The sequence below is a fragment of the Homo sapiens genome, chromosome X (genome assembly GCF_000001405.40).
Source record: "Homo sapiens chromosome X, GRCh38.p14 Primary Assembly".
Lineage (NCBI taxonomy): Eukaryota > Metazoa > Chordata > Mammalia > Primates > Hominidae > Homo > Homo sapiens.
Genome location: NC_000023.11, coordinates 19,453,504 through 19,467,435, shown reverse-complemented (window position 1 = coordinate 19,467,435; position 13,932 = coordinate 19,453,504). Strand labels below are relative to the sequence as shown.

Below are 13,932 nucleotides of genomic sequence, written 5' to 3'. Positions count from 1 at the left end.
GGTAGAGCAAGGGAGCCCTGGTCATCTTGACCACACTTGCCTGGAATAGAGCTTCTACAATATCAGGCTGCGAGGAATAAGAATGTTGGTGGCCTGGTCTTCTAAGGAGAAACAGTGACTCTGGACCAGGGACAAGAGGGAGCCCTTTTGTCTTGGCCACACCTACTTAGAGTAGAACTTCAGTCAGTCTGGGCTGGGTGTGGGGGCGGGGGAGCAGTTTATGGCCCAAATGCTGCAGAATCTTACTAACAAGATTTAGATTTTCTTGAATAAAATGTTTTTCCATTTGCTACATGCCCTCAGGACAACTTATAGAGACTTTAAATCAGGGGTGTTCAGTCTTTTGGCTTTGCTGGGCCACATTGGAGGAAGAAGAATTGTTTGGGCCACATGTAAAATACACTAACAATAGCTGATGAGCTATTAAAAAAAAAGTTTGTGTGTAAATCTCATAATGTTTTAAGAAAGTTTACAAATTTGTGTTGGGCCACATTCAAAGCCATCCTGGGCCATATGTGGTCCATGGGCCCCGGTTGGACAAGCTTGCTTTAAATGGCTGTTTAAAAAGAATTTTCATCAGTTATGGTTGTCTTTCTGGGGATAGGATCTGGGAAGCTCCTTACACTTCCAGTCCAACTTTAACTTTTTGAAAATAACAAATGATGTTTCTTCAAAGGTATTTTTCCTTCTAGACCTCACTGATCTACACAGTCCTTTTCTCCCTCTGTCTGAACTAGGAAGTCTTTGACCATAACATCAACCAATTTCAGGTGTGTATTAGTCCATTTTCATACTGCTATAAAGAACTGTCCAAGACTGGGTAATTTGTAAAGGAAACAGGTTTAATTCACTCACAGTTCAGCATGGCTGGGGAGGCCTCAGGAAACTTACAATCATGGTGGAAGGGGGAGCCGCAGGCAAGATACCTTCTTCACAAGGCGGCAGGAAGGAGAAGTGCCTAGCGAAGGGGGAAGAGCCCCTTATAAAACCATCGGGTCTCATGAGAACTCACTCACTATCAGGAGAACAGCATGGGAGAAACCGCCCCTGATGATCAAGTTACCTCCACCTGGTCTCTACCTTGACACATGGGGATTACGGGGATTACAATTCAAGATGAGATTTGGGTAGGGACACAAAGCCTAACCATATCAAGGTGGAAGAAAGAAAGTTTAACTTTTGAATATGTAAATGGCATTTAATTTAGTCTAGGAACATGGCTTTCTTGGCATGGATGAGGGAGAAATTTACCTCTAACTTACCAAAACCTTAATGCTGAATGATTTGAGTCTCTTTAAGAACTTGAAAGTATTACAAGGCCAGGTGCAGTGGCTCACACCTGTAATCCCAACCCTTTGGGAGGCCAAGGCAGGAGGATCGCTTGAGCCCAGGAGTTTGAGACTGCAGTAAGCTGTGATTGTGCCACCGCACTGCAGCCTGGGTGACAGAGCAAGACCTTGTCTCAAAAAAAGAAAAAAGTGCCACAGGGAACAGAGAGTCTTTGTTCCTGTGGGGTAGGCAATTCCTAGTGGCTGTGAAGAAGTAGATAGGAGCCTGCTACCCCACTTATCACACACACACACACACACACACACACACACACACCCCTACACACCTGAATTTTTACCCTTTCTACTTACAACACTGGTATTTGTGGGTTTTGGTTTTGTTTTGTTTTGTTTTTGATGTAGTCTCGCTCTGTTGCCCAGGCTGGAGGGCAGTGGTGCGATCTAGGCTCAATGCAACCTCCGCCTCCTGGGTTCAAGTGATTCTCCTGCCTCAGCCTCCTGAGTAGCTGGGACTACAGGCATGTGCTACCACACCCGGTTAATTTTTTTTTTTTTTTTTTTTAAGTAGAGATGGGGTTTCACCATGTTGGCCAGGCTGGTCTCAAACTCCTGACCTCAAATAATCCACTCGCCTCTGCCTTCCAAAGTGCTGGGATTACAGGCGTGAGCCACCGCGCCTGGCCAGTATTTGTGTTTTGACAGACTTAATACCAATAGCTGGTACCCACAAGGATGGTCTCCAGCTGCTGCTTTGCAGCAGGATGTAAGTATTCTCAGAAAACCAACCCTATTTTCAGGGATAATAGAATATCAGAAGCTTTGTCTAAGACAACATTGACTCGTCACCTGTTTCTGTATGTCCTGGGAGCTAAGAATGGTTCTTACACTTATTAATGGTTGGAAAATAACAAAGTAAGATGATGATTTCAGGACACGTAAAAATACGAAATTTAGGCCAGATATGGTGGCTCAAGCCTGTAGTCCCAGCACTTTGGGAGGTTGAGGTGGGCGGATTGTTTGAGCCCTGAAGTTTGAGACCAGCCTGGGCAACATGGCAAAACCCCAATCTCTACAAAATAATAGAAATATTAGCTGAGCATGGTGGCACGCACCTTTAGTCCCAGCTACTAGGGAGGCTGAGGTGGGAGGGTTGTTTGAGCCTGGGAGGTTGAGGCTGCAGTGAGCCATGTTCGCGCCACTGCACTTCAGTCTAGGTGACAGAGCAAGACCCTGTCTCAAAAAGCAGAAGAGATCTGAGACTCATTATATTAATATATGCTTCCTACAAAACAATTTTTATTCCACAAAGTTTATAATAGCTCACCTATAGTTAAATGATCAAATAATATGCCTTTTTCATCTATGCTGAAAGAAAAAACAATATGCCATGTTGCAATCCTTGCTTATCAGGAGGTTCATGTTCCCTCTGGTTTTGGGCACATATAATGAAACAATGTGATTTCTGAGATTTAAAACCCTAAAATTTCTGCCAGTGAAGTTCAGAGATACATACAGATCAGTTCAGTATTTGAAACCAAATTTTTGTCATATATCTACGTGGTAGAGCTTTTGAAATCGAGCGGTTTCCTGTTTTGTGCCTAATAGATCCATAGTCGTATTGAACGAATTGTTTTCATCCTCAAGTATTTTCTCCATGCCTGTCCCACCAGGCGCCACCTGCCCAGAGCCTACACTTCCACATAAGTTACTTTCTGGAACATCTTTGTTTCTTTTTTCCAGGCATCCAGTGGAAATTATTATTTCATCCCATACATCGTGACACCGTGCGCTGATTATTTTTGCTGCGAGAGTGATGCCCAGAGACGAGCCTCCGAGTACATGCAGCCCAACTGGGACAACATCCTGGGCCCGCTGTGCATGCCTTTGGTGGACAGGTTCATTAGCCTCCTTAAGGACATCCACGTGACCTCATGGTAATTCCCATCTGCCACCAGTAACCCCTGGAGACTCACCAAGATGTCCCCATTTCTTTCAGGGAAGCGGTACACCTTCAAATGAACAGAGTTGCTGGAGAACCCACTATTGTCCCTTACTGGCTCACTTAGCTGGGCCACTGAAATGAAACCAAAAGAGAATAGAACTGGAGTTAAGAAGTCGGGATTGAGCCCGTGTCTGGCCCTGACTCCCTGTTTGATCTTGACATGTAACTTCTCTTCTCTCTGATTGTTCTGTCTCTTCTAGATAAGACAACTTATAGGAAGTTGTCAGTGATTTTTTTTTTTTTAACGATCTCTTTCAGCTCTGAGATCCTGTGTTTCAAGATGATTTCTGAGCATGGCTTTACACTCGCGTGGCTGTTGGGGCTCTTCATATATCTCAGCAAGGTCATTCTGACCTTACGCTCTCGTGCTTTAAAAGCCTTCGTGCGTTGAGTGGAGCTGCAGCTATCCTCAGGATGTACTGTGCTGTGTTCTCTTTAGATTTAGGTTAGGTGAGGTGAAATATGCAGAAGTGAATAGGTTTAGATTGGAATCTTGGCTTAGATGATTCCTACCTGTGTAGCACTGAAATAGTCAGCTCACCTATTGGAGCCTCAGTGCTCAAGAAACCATACCTTCAGATGTTATTATTGTGAAAGTAAAAGAAAAATTATTCTTCTTAACCAAAGGATCCAGTTATTTTGCTTGCAGCCAATTTAAAGGATTTATTCCTGTAAGTTGTGTCACAAGGAGAAGGATTTGTCCTTCCAAAACAAATGAAAATCCCAAACACTGGCAGAGCTGACCTGAAATGAAATGTAGAGGACCTCCTGTCACACTGTGGCTCAAATAGTGGCACCCTGAACTGCGGAGTGTTCTATTGTAGTGTTGGTACAAGGGAGACACTTATTAATGGTCTCCTTTTCTATCCCGTCACCTCTTCCCTGGATACAGACCTTCTTCTACAGACTTTAATGGAAAAGGAGATTAGAAACCTAAACATGTGTGACCACATGCCAACACAGAGAGCAAATGGGGGACATTTTGTGGCACATTCCTGGAAAACCTCATGCAGTCATGCCTTGCTAACTGTTGTCTGATTGCAAAACAAACACTTGAGTGAAGTTTTATAGAAAGCTCTCCCAATACCATATTTTCAAGTCTGACAAGGAGGTAGACTGGCTAGATCTGCCAGATGATTTAGGTCTTTGCAAGACATGGATTCAAGTTTGTTTCTCACTCAGTGTGTGTATGTATCAGTAGGCAAACAACTCTTGTGATTTCATTTAGTTTCAAAGGGCTTGAAATACCTATTGGTGGATTCCACCCTCTGAACTGGCAGTGTCTGACAACAGTTAGTAGGAGGGGAAGTGGTGCTTATAGTTTAAAACATCTATAACACAGATGGAAAGGAAGTTTTGAGCTCAAGCGCCAGCTCTGATAGATTTATAAAGTCTATTTTGAGTCCTGTGCTGGAATGGCTTGGAAGCCATTTCCAAGTGCTCATTGATCAGCAACATCTTCCTTGGTTACAGGGGCAGAAATGGCTGCATGCTTATTACATATCTGATGTCCCCAAGCCATACTCAAACCAGTGTTTAATTTACCTAAAAGGTACTGTTCTTCTTAGGTTTCTTAGTTTATTAAAATTATTTTTCAGAATTACCCTTGAAAAATAAGGCTGAAGTATAACTTTTTACTTATCGGGCTAACCTAATAACACTTTAATAGCTTCAGTGCCTTTATAGTCCACCAAATGTGCAATGGCTGGCATCCAACTTAATGACTCATTCAATTAGTGACAGAATTTTAAACACTGGCAGAATCTGCTAATTTTGTTCATTATTGGGATGATGGCAATTAACAAAAAAGGAAATAGAAAACTAAAGCAATGCATTGATATTTTTCTATCAGAACCCCTGCTGTGTGCGTCACTTCATTCTTTAAATGTTAATGGAGGTCCTCTTGTGAGCATTGGACCAGGTTATGTACTGTATGTACACATATTTGGCATTGTTTTGTAATTATTGAAAGTAGGCACCATTTGTTCTTATCGTATCTCATGTTGTTTTTCTCTCTTTGAAGACTATTATTAAATTTAGCTTACTCTCTTTTTAATGAACAGCCTAATTTTACACTCTGCAGTTAGTCCATTTCAGCTTTGTTTTGTGTGTGTGTGTGTGTGTGTGTGTGTGTGTGTGTGTGTGTGTGTGTTTTAGACCAAGTCTCACTCTGTCGCCCAGGCTGGAGTGCAGTCGTGCGATCTCAGTTCACTGCAACCTCTGCCTCCCGGGTTCGAGCGATTCTCCTGCCTCGACCTCCGAAGTAGCTGGGATTACAGGCACCCACCACCAAGCCCAGTTAGTTTTTGTATTTTTAGTAGAGACGGGGTTTCACCACGTTGGCCAGGCTGGTCTTGAACTCCTAAGCTCGGGTGATCCTCTTGCCTTGGCCTCCAAAAGTGCTGAGATTATAGGCCTGAGCCACTATGCCTGGCCCCATTTCAGCTTCTTAATGGGACGACAGTATTACTGCTTGGCAGTGTCCTACCTCCACTTAAAAATTCCTATGGAAAATAGACAAGATATTTTAAATCAATCTATGGTTGTTGTAACTCAACTTATGTATACCAAGTTAGGTCATTTTTCAAGGTTTTAAACCAAATACCAGATAATAGCATTGGCTCTTCAAGAGACTATGGTGATATTCCAGCGTGAATTTAACTGCTTTAAGTGTTTTTAAGCTTCCTCGTGCTTATCTAGCTGCTCACCTGAGGGAAGTTTTGTGTTTTCCATTAGAAAACTATTCTTGGGTCCAGGCATGGTGGCTCACGCCTGTAATCCCAGCACTTTGGAAGGCTGAGGCAGGTGGATCACTTGAGTCCAGGAGTTTGAGACCAGCCTGGCCAACATGGTGAAACCCCGTTCTGGCTGGGTGCAGTGGCTCACGCCTGTAATCCCAGCACTTTGGGAGGCCGAGGCGGGTGGATCACGAGGTCAGGAGATCGAGACCATCCTGGCTAACATGGTGAAACCTCATCTCTACTAAAAATACAAAAATTTAACTGGGCATGGTGGCGGGCGCCTATGGTCCCAGCTACTCAGGAGGCTGAGGCAAGAGAATGGCATGAACCCAGGAGGCGGAGCTTGCAGTGAGCCGAGATTGTGCCACTGCACTCCAGCCTGGGCGAAAGTGCGAGACTCTGTCTTAAGAAAAAGAAAAAAAAAAAAGGAAAGAAACCCTGTCTCTAATAGCAATACAAAAATTAGCCAGGTGTAGTGGCACATGCCTATAGTCCCAGCTACTTGGGAGGCTGAGGCAGGAGAATCGCTTGAACCAGGGAGGCGGAGGTTGCAGTGAGCTGAGATTGCACCACTGCACTCCAGCCTGGGCAACAGAGGGAGACTCCGTCTCAAAAAAATAAATAAAAATAAAAAAAAAAAAACAAAAAAACAAAAAAACAGAACATCTGGCCATTCAATATGGTGAGGAGAGCAAGGCTGTCTGTAAGTTTCCAGGCATGACCTCTGTGTGTCCCATCTTGTATTGCTCAGGGACTCAACACCAGTTTCCAGCCCTCACCTCAATTGGGGAAAGCTTCATGACTACTAATGAGAGACACCTGATAGAGAAATTCATTTTCAAGTCATTCTCATGTATGTTTCATGGGTTTTGGAGCTCCGTTTGGCTTTGTTACTAGTGGCGAAAATAAATACACAAGGAAGGTAACTTCTCACCCTCTATATGTTTGAAAATGCCGGAGACAGTGGGTTTGGTTGGCTGCAAGTTCTGTGTGTTGTCCAAGTACAGATGGGAGTCACCTTTGAAAGTATCTTCAAGGTTGAATGAACTGATTTTTACTTGTCATTCATTGGTCTATAAAATGTGAATAAGTAGAAAGCATCTTCTGTTTGCTGGTGCAGGGAGGCTCAGGTCTGGGCCGAGGTCCCTATGTGTTAGCCTAAGTCAGGTCAATGAGAACCATTTTGGGCGCAAGACAGTCCTGGGTGCGTGCAGATGTGACTGGAGGATTTTGTGTTTTTCTTTCTATAGTGTTTATTACAAAGAAACCTTGTTAAATGACATCCGGAAAGCCAGAGAGAAATACCAAGGTGAGGAACTGGCGAAGGAGCTAGCTCGGATCAAGCTCCGCATGGATAATACTGAGGTTCTGACCTCAGACATCATCATTAACTTACTCCTGTCCTACCGTGATATCCAGGTATGAAATCCACCTAGCCGAGGCTCACGTATGCTACGTTCTTCCTTGGCTTGAGGAACGTCTTGTGAAGTATTTGTATACTCAGTATGTGGTGAAGTGGCTGGGTTTTGTTCTTCTTTTTTGTTTTCTTTTTTGAGATGGAGTTTTGCTCTTGTTGCCCAGGCTGGAGTGCAATGGTGCGATCTCGGCTCACTGCAACCTCAGCCTCCCGGGTTCAAGCTGTTCTCCTGCCTCAGCCTCCTGAGTAGCTGTGATTACAGGCATGCGCCACCATGCCCAGATAACTTTATATTTTTAGTAGAGACAGGGTTTTCACCATGTTGGTCAGGCTGGTCTTAAACTCCTGACCTCAGGTGATCCACCCGCCTCGGCCTCCCAAAGTGCTGGGATTGCAGGCATGAGCCACTGTGCCCGGCCAGAGGTGGCCGTTTTATAGACAAATGGTATGTGGCTAGGTCATAGGTCATCCAGCTTATCTGTTGTGGTGGAAATTTTGGAGAAGGTTTTGTCACATCGGGGCTGGTGTGACCACTCCGACAAGAAGAGATGTCATAAACAGGACTGTTTGGCAGAAGGAGCCAAGAATTTAAGTTTATATGAACTTTACACTAGGCATTGTACCAAGCCCTTTGACAAACCTGAATTCATTTAATCCTCTTAACAACCCTATGTGGGATATGTGTACTCTGATTATCCACATTTTACACATGAGGAAACTGAGGCACAGAGCGGTTAAGTAACTTGCCCGAGGTCACACAGCAGTTGGTTAGGTCAGGATTCAGACTGAGACTGATGCTCCGTTGTCCTTGTTCCTAACCCCTCTGCTGTGCAACTTCCTTTAGGCTTTTGTCACTTCCTCCTTTGTTTACCACCATACATCAGTGACAGGGAGAACAGGAGTAGCAGAAACACATTCAGGACCCAGGGAATGTAGATGTTTATTCTGAGACAAGCATCAGAAGCTACTGGAGAGTTCTGAGACTGGTCTTTTGGTCTGTGGTTCCGTGAAGGAAATTGAGCGTTTCCTCTCTCCAAGTTGAATGCCATTGAGCCATCTCTAAGGATGTCTTGGCTTCCTTTCCTTTGGAGGAACACAGGATCACGTACCTTACTCATAGAATTCCACAAAGCCATGTTGAGAGTTGTTGGCTAGAAGTCTTTAAATTGAAGTGATGGAGGCGTCCACTTATGACCTGGACCAAAACAGAGTCAACCAGTAAGGAACTCCTGCCCCTGGTGATAAACAGATGCAGCTAGCTGATTTTATTTCTGTTTTTCAAATTTTTATTTATTTATTTATTTATTGAGACACAGTCTTGCTCTGTTACCCAGGCTGGAGTGCAGTGGTGTGATCTCAGCTCACTGCAACCTCCGACTCCCAGGTTCAAGCAGTTCTCCTGCCTCAGCCTTCCCAGTAGCTGGAATTACAGGTGCCTGCCACCTTGCCTGGCTAACTTTTTTAATTTTTAGTAGGGATGGGGTTTCACCATGTTGGGCAGGCTGATCTCAAACTCCTGACCTCAGGTGATCCATCTGCCTTGGCCTCCCAGAGTGCTGGGATTACAGGCGTGAGCCACCGTGCCTGGCCAGCTAGCTGATTTTAATAGCAGTTGCTACTAGGGATGATAATGATTAGGTCTTGTCTCCCAGGACAAGAACATGGGAATGACTTTTCTTGAAGCCTTTCTTCCCTCGAGCTGCTGCTTTTTGTCCTTCCCTTCATGTATCCCTTCTTTTCATAACCTTCCATTCATGCTCAAAGGTGGGCCAAGAGGTTCTTGGAATACCCTGCCTTCTCCCTCCTGGGGCAGCAGCATCAAGGCGCAGAGCCACAGGACAGGCATGGCATTTCAGTGGGAAGCCCTGTTCTGCTGACCATGGCTGGCTGTCAGCAAGTTGGCCAGTTCCAACGATTCTAAGCCTGGCTGAAAGAGTAACAGGCGGCACTGCTAAGAGGGGACTTGGCTGAGACAAGCATGGTCGCAATTTTTCTCCAGGTAATTATGCAGAGTTTAGAGCAGTGGTTCTCAACCCAAGGACTTTTTTGGCAGTGTCTGGAGACATTTTCAGTTGTAAAAACTAAGTGCGTGTGTGGGGCATGAGGTGGGTGGTGTGCTGTGGCTTCCAGTGGGTCAAGGCCAGCATCCTACAGTGCCCAGGACAGCTCCCACAACAGAGAATTATGGTCCAGAAACGTCACTAGTCCCAAGGTTGAGAAACACTAGTTTAGATTAATGTATTTGATTCTGGCAAAATAGGAAAGACTGGAATCTATGTGCTTTGACTGGAAGTTTGCTTGTGTGTATTTGTCCAGCTCACTTTAACACACATCTCTGCTGATACTGTTTTTTTATTTTGTTTTTGATTTTGAGACAGACGGAGTCTTGCTCTGTTGCCCAGCCTGGAATGCAGTGGCACAATCTTGGCTCACTGCAACCTCCGCCTCTCAGGTTCAATCAATTCTCCTGCCTCAGCCTCTCGAGTAGCTGGGATTCCAGGCGCCCGCCACCATGCCCAGCTATATTTTGTATTTTTAGTAGAGACAGGGTTTCACCATGTTGGCCAGGCTAGTCTCGAACTCCTGACTTCAAGTGATCCACCCACCTCCGCCTCTCAAAGTGCTGAGATTACAGGTGTGAGCCACCACGCCCAGCCTCTGCTGATGTTGTTAACTCTCCTACACTCAGCTGTTTCCTGGCTGCTGGCCTCATTTACTTTTGTTGCCTTTGGATGCTTCATGCCCTTTGATAGCAGGGATTCCTTCTCTGTTCTTCTCTCTCTCATCCATCTTATTTTCTGGTCTTTTTCCCTCCTATTAAAGGCTACAAGTAACTTCACTAAATGCCCTTTGTAAGGAAGGGCCTGTCTTTAAGTGCGGAGGCTGTCTCCTGTTTATAACAATTCAGAAAAATCAGTGAAGAGCTGTGTTTCCTCTCTTGCTCACTTTGGGACCTCTTGCCAACAGGACTATGATGCGATGGTGAAGCTGGTGGAAACACTGGAGATGCTGCCTACGTGTGATTTGGCCGATCAGCATAACATTAAATTCCACTATGCGTTTGCACTGAATAGGTAAGAACGATAATGTACGTACAGGTTTTGAAACATGCCACCCATTGAATTGTGCTTCCTTCTTTCATTCAACATCGGGTATGAGCCAGGTCACGTGCTAAATGCCAAGGTTATGAAGATGGACAAGGTCCAGTCTTTGTCCTCAGGGACTTTGTATTTGGCATACACATTCTAGCTGTGAGATTGAACACATCAATCCATCCTAATAGCTTATGACGGCATCAAAACAGGCACCCCCGGCTTCACATATCTTGTAACACATACGAGGTCACATCTCTTTTTTAAATCGGTAAAATTTGCAGTCAGTGAAATGCACAGATCTTAAGTATATGATTTGTGTTTGATAATTGGCTATACACATGGAAACAACACTCCCATCAAAAAAGAAAACATTTCCATCACCCCAGAAGTTCCCTTGTGCTCCTTTGCAGGCAATCCTTAACCCCTCCATAGGTGACCACTGTTACAGCCTCTGTCTCCATAGATGAGTTTGGCTTGTCCTTGACTTCACATAAACGGAATCACACAGTGTGTACTCTTTTGTGTCATTCATCGTCGTGTTCGCGAGATTCATCTATGCGGTTGTGTGTATTAGTGGTTTGTTCGTTCTCATTGCCGTCGCGTAGTCCTTGGTATAGGTATGCCACAATCATCTGTTTTACTGCTGATGGGCCTCTAGGTTGTTTGCGGTTTGGGGATACTGAGAACAGCGCTGCTATGGACATTGCTGTACATGCTTTTTCTACACATATGGATACATTTCTCGGGTATATAGCATGTGCTTGTAGTAGACATCGGCAAACAGTGGTAGGATTCTGATTCCTTTTTGGGAGAAAGCTTCATGGTCTCTGTGGAAATGCACCTGCTCTCTCCCCAGCAGCCTTTAAACCCAGCATCCCAAGGATGCATTGTTGTGAATGACGGCCAGTCTTCATTAAGCCTGATAAAGTCTTGTAACTTTGTTCCCCCGACATAGTAAGCTCCATTCTTATTTATATTTACCTGTGCTTGATTAATAACCATTAAATGAGCCATCACGCCTGAGGTTCTTGGGAGAGTGCCTGGCACACTGTAAGTGCTGTAAAAAATTGGTTTGTTAAATAAAAACTATAAGGGCCTTTTAAGTTACTCATCACTAAGTCTTTTTCCCAGACATAGTAGAGGTAACCGTTGTCAGACAGAGAATGAAATAATAGATTGCCATTTTCTCAAAATAACAAAAGAGTAAAACAAGATTTGAAATGGAAAATTGGGGCCGGCCGCAGTGGCTCATGCTTGTAATCCCAGCACTTTGGGAGGCCGAGGCGGGCAGATCACTTGAGCTCAGGAGTTCAAGACCAGCCTGGGCAACATGGCAAAACCCCGTCTCTACAAAAAAAAAAAAAAAAAAAAAAAAAAATTAGCCAGGCATGATGGCTTGTGCTTGTAGTCTCTCAGCTACTCAGGAGGCTAAGGTAGGCGGCTTGCTTGATCCTGGGAAGTTGATGCTGTAGTGAGCCATGATTGCACCATTGCACTCCAGCCTGGGTGGCAGAATGGAGACCCTGTTTCAAAAAAAAAAAAAAGAAAAAAGAAAAAAAGACATAGAAAATTGGTATTTAGGAGAAACAGGTATAGCAGGATGAGGTGATCCTGAGATGAATACGTTTCCCGTTTGGAAGCAGAATGGCTGGGATTGCACACCAGATAGCCACCTTTCTCTTTGATGGGTCTTTTCCTTCTAGTCTGATTATCTCCTGTTAGACAGTGGCTCTGTTTAATAGGGCCAGACGGGGTCTCCAACACTGAGAACCTCATTTTCTCCAACAAACTAAGGATTTTCTATGGGATTGCAATACTTGCTTCATTTACACATGTAATCTGATCCTGAATTTCACATTTTTGCTTTAGGCTTAAGTTGGCCAGCCGTCAACATAGTAGGAGTTTGCATTACACATTGAGCATCTCTAATCTGAAAATCTGAATTGAAAAGTGCTCCTAAATCCAAAACTTTTTGAGCGCCAACATGATGCTCAAAGGAAATGCTCATTGGAGCATTTTGTATTTCAAATTAGGGATGCTTAACTCGTAAGTATAATGTAAACATTCCAAAATCTGAAATACTGCAAATCCAAAGCACTTCTGGTCCCGAGCATTTTGGATAAGAGATACCTAACTGGTATATATAGTTTTGAGCGAGTTTATGGCATTACTTTGTATCTGTAAAGGGGAAAATAGTGATGGACAAGAAATGAGTTTTCCTGCATGAAGGTTGACCTTTAGCTCTCAGGAAGTGGAGCAAATCATGGCCAGAAATGAGTTACTGAAGGTTGGCAGTAATGGATGACTTTCGACCCTCAGATGTCAAGGGCTCCCTGTTAGTGGGAAAGCTGGCTCGAGCCGGTCAGCTTTCCCTGATACCTTCCACTCCACTGCGTTCAGAAGCCCATTCAAAGCTACTTCAAGTTTCCACTGAGCAGTTAAACTGCTTGCTGCTTGATGGCATGGAATATTTTATGAGTGATTTGTATTTGCTGTTGCTTTTACAAATGGGGCTTTATTAGATATATGAATGTAGTCAGAATATTCTGACCAGGGATCCAGCCAGTGAGCTGGATGGTCTAGAAGAAGAAAATCAGAATCAAAGTCCCAGGTTCAAAACAAAATAGAACTTGCCAGTCGCAAAATAGAAGGCATGTGCTCATATTCTACTTCCAGCATCTTTGGATCGAGACTACCAACTCTGGCAAAATTTACCTCTTTGAATTACTCAGCAAGTGGCAGGGCAGTTGGATGTGTGACGCACTGACTGGAATGTCTAATATGTCGTTCTGTAAATAAGGGGAGTGCTAGATGAGAATGCTCTGCAGACCCTAGAAATGTGTGCAGGGGACATGAGATGAACGTGACTGAATCCAGCCCACACCAGAGGGGCTGCATGCTTGTTCCAGAACCTACTGTATTCACCTGAGCCTTAGTCTCTGAGCTTCCCAGCCGAGAGGGCAGAGTGAGCTCGTCATCTCTACAGTAGCCACGAGCCTCCTTTTGTCTCTTCTGTTGATGTTCGCTGTTTGATTTCGCTGTCTTAATTTCCATGTGGATATAAGTAGCATTCTTTATGACATGTTTGTCAAATGTAGAAAAATGATGACATCTTCCCACTTTTCTAATGCATTGTCTCCAGGCTCCTAAAAGCATCTTGTGAAAGAAGGATACATACTTGTTGCTTTTCTAGTGAAGAGAACCACAAAATCTGCCAACTTAAAAGGAATCATTTAGTCCAAATCCTTTGTTTTGGAGAGGAGAAAGAAACAAACAAAGAAAAAGGCAAGGGCCCAAAATGTAACACTTGGTCAATAAGAGATCTGGAACCAGAACTCCCTCCCTAATGTTACCACAGCACACTGCATATACTACTTTTTTTTTTTTT

General features: G+C 44.1%; 1 protein-coding gene across 5 annotated transcripts in view; it reads left to right on the top strand.

The window, feature by feature from the left end:
* The window catches only part of MAP3K15 (mitogen-activated protein kinase kinase kinase 15), a 155,450-nt gene that overhangs the window by 48,073 nt on the left and 93,445 nt on the right, over positions 1 to 13,932 (top strand). For 4 of the 5 annotated variants that reach the window (XR_007068188.1, XM_011545508.4, XM_011545507.4 and 1 more), the window contains exons 4-7: positions 738 to 770; positions 3,030 to 3,223; positions 7,283 to 7,451; positions 10,417 to 10,523. Coding sequence is in view for 4 of the 5 variants with exons in the window: in XM_011545508.4 (XP_011543810.4) it covers positions 738 to 770; positions 3,030 to 3,223; positions 7,283 to 7,451; positions 10,417 to 10,523 (503 nt within the window). In the remaining variant the exon portion in view is untranslated. The remainder of the gene's footprint in view (positions 1 to 737; positions 771 to 3,029; positions 3,224 to 7,282; positions 7,452 to 10,416; positions 10,524 to 13,932) is intronic. The other variant, NM_001001671.4, reaches the window with a different exon arrangement.